We start from the raw sequence: 9,786 nt of genomic DNA on the forward strand, positions 1-9,786 counted from the left end.
ATGATACTTTATCTAAGCACGGTGCATGTTAATATGCATTGTAAAGGAAGTTGCATAGTTTTTTTTTATTTTATTATTATTATACCTTAAGTTTTAGGGTACATGTGCACAAAGTGCAGTTTAGTTACATATGTATACATGTGCCCTGTTGGTGTGCTGCACCCAATAACTCCTCATTTAGCATTAGGTATATCTCCTAATGCTATCCCTTCCTCCTCCCCTCATTCCACAACAGTCCCTGGTATGTCATGTTCCCGTTTCTGTGTCCATGTGTTCTCATTGTTCAAGTCCCACCTATGAGTGAGAACATACAGTTTGGTTTTTTGTCCTTGTGATAGTTTGCTGAGAAACATGGTTTCCAGCTTCACCCATGTCCCCACAAAGGACATGAACTCATCATTTCTTATGGCTGCATAGTATTCCATGGTGTATATGTGCCACATTTTCTTAATCCAGTCTATCATTGTTGGACATTTGGGTTGATTCCAAGACTTTGCTATTGTGAATAGTGCCGCTATAAACATATGAGTGCATGTGTCTTTATAGCAGCATGATTTATAATCCTTTGGGTGTATACCCAGTAATGGGATGGCTGGGTCAAATGATATTTCCAGTTCTAGATCCCTGAGGAATCACCACACTGACTTCCACAATGGTTGAACTAGTTTACAGTCCCACCAACAGTGTAAAAGTGTTCCTATTTCTCCACATCCTCTCCAGCACGTGTTGTCTCCTGACTTTTTAATGATCGCCATTCTAACTGGTGTGAGATGGTGTCTCATTGTGGTTTTGATTTGCATTTCTGTGATGGCCAGTGATGATGAGCATTTTTTCATGTGTTTTTTGGCTGCATAAACGTCTTCTTTTGAGAAGTATATGTTCATATCCTTTGCCCACTTTTTGATGGGGTTGTTTGTTTTTTTCTTGTAAATTTGTTTGAGTTCATTGTAGATTCTGGATATTAGCCCTTTGTCAGATGAGTAGATAGCAAAAATTTTCTACCATTCTGTAGGTTGCCTGTTCACTCTGATGGTAGTTTCTTTTGCTGTGCAGAAGCTCTGTAGTTTATTTAGATCCCAATTGTCAATTCGGCTTTTGTTGCCATTGCTTTTGGTGTTTTAGACATGAAGTCCTTGCCAATACCTATGTCCTGAATGTTATTGCCTAGGTTTTCTTCCAGGGTTTTTATATTTTTAGGTCTAACATGTAAGTCTTTAATCCATCTTGAATTAATTTTTGTATAAGGTGTAAGGAAGGGATCCAGTTTCAGCTTTCTACATATGGCTAGCCAGTTTTCCCAGCACCATTTATTAAATAGGGAATCCTTTCCCCATTGCTTGTTTTCATCAGGTTTGTCAAAGATCAGATAGTTGTAGATATATGGCATTATTTCTGAGAGCTCTGTTCTGTTCCATTGGTCTATATCTCTGTTTTGGTACCAGTACCATGCTGTTTTGGTTGCTGTAGCCTTGTAGCATAGTTTGAAGTCAGGTAGCATGATGCCTCCAGCTTTGTTCTTTTGGCTTAGGATTGACTTGGCGAAGCGGGCCCTTTTTTGGTTCCATATGAACTTTAAAGTAGTGTTTTTCCAATTCTGTGAAGAAAGTCATTGGTAGCTTCACGCGGATGGCATTGAATCTATCAATTACCTTGGGCAGTATGGCCATTTTCATGATATCGATTCTTCCTACCCATGAGCATGGAATGTTCTTCCATTTGTTTGTACCCTCTTTTATTTCATTGAGCAGTGGTTTGTAGTTCTCCTTGAACAGGTCCTTCACAACCTTTGTAAGTTGGATTCCTAGGTATTTTATTCTCTTTGAAGCAATTGTGAATGGGAGTTCACTCATGATTTGGCTCTCTGTCTGTTATTGGTATATAAGAATGCTTGTGATTTTTGCACGTTGATTTTGTATCCTAAGACTTTGCTGAAATTGCTTATCAGCTTAAGGAGATATTCGACTGAGACGATGGGGTTTTCTAGATATATAGTCATGTCATTAGGGCATACAATTTTCCTAATTGAATGCCCTTTATTTCCTTCTCCTGCCTGATTTCCCTGGCCAGAACTTCCAACACTATGTTGAATAGGAGTGGTGAGAGACGTCATCCCTGTCTTGTGCTGGTTTTCAAAGGGAATGCTTCCAGTTTTTGTCCATTCAGTATGATATTGGCTGTGGGTTTGTCAAAGATAGCTCTTATTATTTTGAGATACGTCCCATCAATACCTAATTTATTGAGAGTTTTTAGCACGAAGGTTCTTGAATTTTGTCAAAGGCCTTTTCTGCATCTATTGAGATAATCATGTCATTTTTGTCTTTGGTTCTTTTTGTATGCTGGATTACGTTTATTGATTTTCATATGTTGAAGCAGTCCTGCATCCCAGGGATGAAGCCCACTTGATCATGGTGGATAAGCTTTTTGATGTGCTGCTGGATTCAGTTTGCCAGTATTTTACTGAGGATTTTTGCATCAATGTTCATCAAGGATATTGATCTAAAATTCTCTTTTTTTGTTGTGTCTCTGCCAGGCTTTGGTATCAGGATGATGCTGGCCTCATAAAATGAGTTAGGGAGGATTCCCTCTTTTTGTATTGATTGGAATATTTTCAGAAGGAAGGGTACCAGCTCCTCTCTGTACCTCTGGTAGAATTCGGCTGTGAATCCATCTGGTCCTGGACTTTTTTTGGTTGGTAAAGCTATTAATTATTGCCTCAATTTCAGAGCCTGTTATTGGTCTATTCAGAGATTCATCTTCTTCCTGGTTTAGTCTTGGGAGGGTGTATGTGTTGAGGAATTTATCCATTTCTTCTGGATTTTCTAGTTTATTTGTGTAGAGGTGTTTATAGTATTCTCTGATGGTAGTTTGTATTTCTGTGGGATCAGTGGTGATATCCCCTTTGTCATTTTTTATTGGGTCTGTTTGATTCTTCTCTCTTTTCTTCTTTATTAGTCTTGCTAGAGGTCTATCAATTTTGTGGATCTTTTCAAAAAGCCAGCTCCTGGATTCACTGAATTTTTGAAGGGTTTTTCGTGTCTCTATTTCCTTCAGTTTTGCTCTGGTCTTACCTTCAACATGCACTGGCAAAAACTCTCCCTGCCTTCTCCATTGGGAATGCCATATGAGACAACGGCCAGCAGGTGGCGATGTTTATTTGACTTGCTAAGAAGGGAAATTTTCCATAAAAATCTGGCATCTCCATGTGACCCCCTCAATGGCTTTGCTTTGTTTTGTTTTAACTACAGCTGCAGTTGCAAACGCCTGAAGATGGTCAATTATCCATAACAAGCATTCATACTTGAGGTGCTGAAACCACAACTTTTTCATGGTATTTGCTCAGATCATGCAAGTGCTTCAATCGTGTATTTTTTTCAATATTCTGGTGCCATGAAAATATAAATACCTAAATGAAGTCTTTCCAGACAGGTATTTGGTGATGGGCATTGATTGCAGAAAAGGAGCATTCTCCAAAAAAGATGCTAAGGGGGAGAGCAAGTAAAACTTTTGGGAAGAAATATTTACCTGGGTGTGACAAAGGGAGTTGAACCAAACTGAAAAGAATTGTATTTCACCTAGTTATGTTAATGGACCCTTCAGTGAATTAAACATTATTTTTAATTTCTGCACACTTAAAAAATTGAATACCACCACAAAAATGGGGGAAAAGAATTAGATTTTCACCCATCAGAGATGAATTTGAAATGCTAATATGACCACGCTAGAACTAGGAAAAATACATAACCAGGAATATTTCTGGAGCATTCACTTAGTTTCCCATTCAGTGAAATGGTTATAGACAACACTGTAATTCATATTGGCTGGATTTTTCTTCCACACATATCAGTACAGGCATTAGACTATTAATTGAGTACTTCGTTCATTCGTTGAAGCTAGATCTAGTGCCCACTGTGCGGTAAAGACTGCACACTGTGTAGCCCTTCACAGACTAAAGTAGATTACTTTCAGTTTTTTCTAGAAGTTGTTCTCCCACCTTTGGTGCTAGATCTAAAGTCACCTACCCCTTGATTTCTATTCCCTTCTCCATGTTAATAAATATTCCCGACATTTGAAAATTTATGGAGAGAAACTACAACTTCACTCAGACTAATTCTTTTAAGGACACGCATTTGTCCTTAAAATGCATTTGAACATTCTACTGAATGCCAGCAATTTAAACTCAGGGTTTTAAGCAGATTAACTTGAAGCCCTTCTTCTTTATGAAATAAAAAGTTTAGCCTTCTAGCTTACACTTAGGATGTAGACAGCTGTCAAGAAGATCATTGCTCCTGCAATAAAGGCAAAATGAAGGACATATCAGAAATGAATTCAAATTTTCCTGAATCTGTTAGAAAACCACAGTTGCAGGGAGTGATGGTTAATATTAGGTGTCAACTTGATTGGACTGAGGGATGCCTTGGTAGCTGGTAAATTATTGTTTCTGGGTGTGTCTGTGAGGTTTTCACCAGAGGATATTGACACTGAGTTAGGGGGCTGAGAGAGGAAGACCCACCCTCAATGTGGATGGGCATCATCTAACTGGCTGCCAGTACAGCTAGAACAATGCAAGTGGAAGAAGGTGGGAGAAGCTGGCTTGCTGGGTCTTCAGGCTTTCGTCTGTCTCCCATGCTGGATGCTTCATTCTCTTACTTCTGATCTTGGACCTGAGACTCCAGGTTCTTTGGCTTTGGGGCTCTTATTTATTTTATTATTATTCAATATTAGTAGTAGTATTTTTATTATTTGAGACAAGATCTCACTTTATCATCCAGGCTGGAGTCCAGTGGCATGATCTTGGCTCACTACAACCTTTGTCTCCCGGGTTCAAGTGATTCTCCTGCCTTAGCCTTTTAAATAACTAGGAATACAAGCACTCACCACAATGCCTAGTGAATTTTTGTATTTTTAGTAGGGACAGTGTTTCACCATGTTGGCCAAGCTACTCTTGAACTCCTGACTGAAAGCAATCCACCTGCCTTGGCCTCCCAAAGTGCTGGGATAACAGGCATGAGCCACCATGCCCAGCCAGCTTTTGGACTCTTGGACTTACAGCAGTGATTTGCTGAGGGCTCTTGGGCCTTTGGCCACAGACTGAAAGCTGTACTGTCTGCCTCCCTGCCTTTGAGGTTGTTGGAGTCTGACTCAACTACTATCAGCTTCTGTCTTCCCCAGCGTGCAAACGGCCTACAGTGGGACATTGCCTTGTGATGGTGTGAGCCAATTCTCCCTAATAAACTCCCTTTCATATAGACATAGATTCTATTAGTTCTGTACCTCTGGAGAACCCTGACTAATACATAGTGAAAAGAATCAGCCTGGAATACAAGGAAAGGCAGGTGTTTCTAAGGTGAGATAGGATGTGTGCACATCTTGCCATGAACAGACATGGAAAACACCCAAATGGATAAGACACATGCAAATAAAGTATCAAAGGGCTTGACAGTGGACTAGGGTGAAGTTATAGGATGTCTGGGAGACATGGCCATAAGAGAAATTTGCAGCTTTCACTGAGTCTTCACAAAATTTTCCTGGTACCTACAAGGGAGACTGGGGACAGGTTGAGAGAACTGAAGAAGCACCCTCAAGATGATGTCTGGGGAGAATTGAACAGCAGTGGAGGAGACTCTTCTCCATGGGTCTCTTGTCCTCCATATCTTATGGGTGTGATAAGAAAGAATGACAGGCTCCGACCACCCTTTACCCGGAGCATTTCTCATGGTTGTTGTTCTACTCCCTGTTCAACCTTGAAGGAGGAGGTGACATATTCCTCCAGGACAAGAGCAGGCTCTGCTTATTGGGGGTTACAAAGTGGTAGAGTTTTCCCAAGTTCTGTGTATCCCTCTTGTAATGCAGCCCACGGCAGGTGTAGGTTCCTATCCAAGTTCATCCGCAGCACCCCTTTGTGATACTGATAAAAAAAGGTTGATGTTCTGGCAACGACTTTGCTGGAAGCAAGTTCCTCTATTCTTCGACCTAAAAGTTCTGTGTCTTCTGCCAGCATCCATAGAATTGCAGCAAGCTATTTTATTAACTTACAAACAGGATATACTCCCAGACTCCTCATAGTTCTTGATGGGTGGCCATTGTGAGAAAGGCAGGAAGCCTCTCCTGGCTTGCAGTTTGCAAGTGAAACAAAAGCCTTTAGCTTCAGGAAATCCTGTGTAGCTGAAGATACTATAAAGCCTTAAGAAAATAATAATAATAATTTTATTATGTATTATACTATATATAATGAATATTATATACAATATACACAGTTGATCCTTGAATAACATGAGTTTAAACTATGAAGATCTACTTATCAATGGATTTCAGTATGCTGTTAGTTAAGTTTTAGGGGATTTAAAATACGTGAACTATTTTTGAGATTGAGTCTCACTCTGTCACCCAGGGTGGAGTGCAATGGTGCACTTTTGGCCAACGGCAACATTCCTCTTCTGGGATCAGTAAAGTTTCCTGTCTCAGCCTCTTGAGTAGCTGGTTACAGGCATGTGCCACCATGCCTGGATACTTTTTGTATTGTTAGTAGAGGGTTTCAACACGTTTCACCATGTTGGCCAGGCTGGTCTTGAACTTCTGACATGAAGCAAACATTCACGTTGGCATACCAAAGTGCTAGGATTCTAAGCATGATCCACCATGCCCAGCCTACATATGAACTTTTAACTGTACAAGGGATTGGTGTCCCTAAGCCTCACCTTGTTCAAGGGTCAACTGTATACAATTATATATATAATATAATCATATGTAATATATATTATATAATTGCATATAATGCATTATGGATACTATATATAGTTATACATATATGATGTATATTATACATTATATTCTATATCATATATAATATATTTAAGTAGGTAATATATAATGTATATTTTATAACATATAATTAATATTTTGTTAATTTTTAATATAACATACTATGTAATATATACCTGTATCTGTCACCTATCTCTCTGTGTATTATCAAAGTATCAAATCTATCATCTACGTATCTTCTATGTATCATCTATATATCTATCATCTATCTATTATCTATTGATCTATATATCTATTATCTATCTGCTATCTATCTTTCCTATATCTATCTATGATGTATCTATTTCTCTATTATCTATCTATCTCTGTATCTCTGTATCATCTATATCATCTATCTATCTATCTATATCTCTCCATGCTAGTGAGATGATGAGAAGATTACTTCACTTCTGTAATATTCTTTCCAGCATCCCCTAACCCCATTCTTATAATAAGACAAACAACAGACAAATCTGGCATTGGAAATATTCCACAGACTACTTGAAAAGTATTCAAGACTGTTGAGGTCACGATAAAGCAAGAGAAGGCTGAGAAACAGCCACAAACAAGTGGAGATGGGGGAGAGGTGAAAAGTAAGTGCAGCGTGATCTTTCACTGGGATCCTGTGACAGAAAAAATATCATTCACAAAATGCTGGTGGAATCTGCCTAAAGCCTGAGGTGTGCTTAAGAGTGCTTTATCAGTGGTATCGGATTCTTAGCTTTGGAAAGTACACCATAACCACATTAGATGTTAATAATGAGAGGAACTGGATGAGAGTTGTACAGGGACTTCCTGCACTCTATGGCAATCATTCAATCAAGCCTATTTTAAAAATTCCATCTTAAGAAATGCACAGTCTGGGCCGGGCGCGGTGGCTCACGCCTGTAATCCCAGCACTTTGGGAGGTCGAGGCGGGCGGATCACGAGGTCAGGAGATCGAGACCATCCCGGCTAAAACGGTGAAACCCCGTCTCTACTAAAAATACAAAAAAATTAGCCGGGCGTAGTGGCGGGCGCCTGTAGTCCCAGCTACTTGGGAGGCTGAGGCAGGAGAATGGCGTGAACCCGGGAGGCGGAGCTTGCAGTGAGCCGAGATCCCGCCACTGCACTCCAGCCTGGGCGACAGAGCGAGACTCCGTCTCAAAAAAAAAAAAAAAAAAAAAAAAGAAATGCACAGTCTGGTATACCAAATCAACAATCTAATTGAAAAATGGACAAGTAGGGCCAGGCGCGGTGGATCATGCCTGTAATCCCAGCACTTTGGGAGGCCGAGACGGGCGTATCACGAGGTCAGGAGATTGAGATCATCCTGGCTAACAGGGTGAAACACCGTCTCTACTAAAAATACTATATATATATGCAAGGCGTGGTTGTGGGCACCTGCAGTCCCAGCTACTCGGGAGGCTGAGGCAGGAGGAAGACATGAACCTGGGAGGTGGAGCTTGCAGTGAGCTGAGATCGCATCACTGCACTCCAGCCTGGACAACAGAGCAAGACTCTGTATAAAAAAAAAAAAAAAAGGACAAGTAGTTTGAACAGAAACTTTACCAAAGAAGATATAGAGTATAGTCTCATGAAAAGATGCTCAACATCTTTAGTTAAAGAAATGGAAATTACAACCACAGGGAAATATTACTACACATGAGTGAGAAGGTCTAAAATTTAAATCAACATACAAGAACAAAAATACTGAAGCAAAACCCTAACAATATGAGTGTCAGTGAGGAGGTGGAGTAGCAGAGAAACTTTCTATGTTAGTGATGGGAATGCAGAATGGCACAGGCACAGGAAAACAGAGCAGTGGCTTCTTATGAAACTAAACATGTAAGTACTATTGAAACAGGTGAGTTCCCTGACCTTCCTTGTGGGATGTGTAACAGGGGTGTGACATGTCTCTTCATCTGCTGCTGCTCAAACCCCTTCTGGGAAGAGGACCATGCAGACAGGCAGGCACAGGAGCTGGGGTGAGTGACTTTGGGCCCTGATCCCATGGTAGCATCCAGCGGTGGGTACCTGCCACTCCTGAAGCCCCAGTGGGTGTGTTACAGTGCTCTTTTAGCTTTGCCATCCACAAATGGCTTATGTTTTAGCCATCTTAGTGCCCTGGTACCCAGGTTCTTGTCTGGCATCCAGGAAAAATCAGGGCACACAGACAATTTGGAGAATGGTAAATATGGGGTATTTTATTGCTAGATGGAGGTGGCTATCAGTGAGATGAATGGGGAGATGGAAAGGGGATGGAGAGGGAAGATGATCTTCCCCTTGAGTTTGGCCATCCTGTGGCTAACCTCTCTGACTGCCCCTGGTCGAACTCTAAATATTTAGCTACTCCTTCTCTTCCCTCCTCTGCTATGCCACTCTTCTGCTGCTCTGCTCCTCTGCTTGTAGAGCCTGGAGTTTATATGGGTACAGAACAGGGGGGTGTGTTGAGCCAAAAGGCAACATTTGGGTGTGAAAACAGGAATGCCTGTTCCTGTTTAGGGCCATGGGTTTCCAGGCTTGAGGGTGGGACTTTTGTTGGGTAATCACCCTCTTGAACCCAGTATTTCCCTCTCTCCCGTCCATATCATTACCTGACTCAACAGGACCCAGAAGTCTCTTCCTAAGTGTTACCAAAGAGAAATGAAAATTAATGTTCATTTTAAAAAAAGCCTGGTACTGAGCATTTATTGTTGCTTTAGTTGTAATCATTAAAAACTGGAAACAACACAGATGTCCTTTCAAAGATGAGAGGGTTAAGTAAAAGAAAATAAAACTGTAGTACATGTACAGAATGAAACACTATCCAGCAACAAGAAAGAAATGAATTGCTGATACATACAACAATGGGGGAAATCTCAACTGTATTAACCTACATGAAAAAAGCCATTGTAAATAGGGTGCATATTGTGTTACCCAGTTATAAAATATTCTGGAAAATGCACTATACAAACAGACTAGTGGTTAGATTAGTAGCACTTGAAGGCTGACGAGACAGAAAGGTTG

This window comes from Homo sapiens, chromosome Y (assembly GCF_000001405.40).
Source record: "Homo sapiens chromosome Y, GRCh38.p14 Primary Assembly".
NCBI classification, from domain to species: domain Eukaryota; kingdom Metazoa; phylum Chordata; class Mammalia; order Primates; family Hominidae; genus Homo; species Homo sapiens.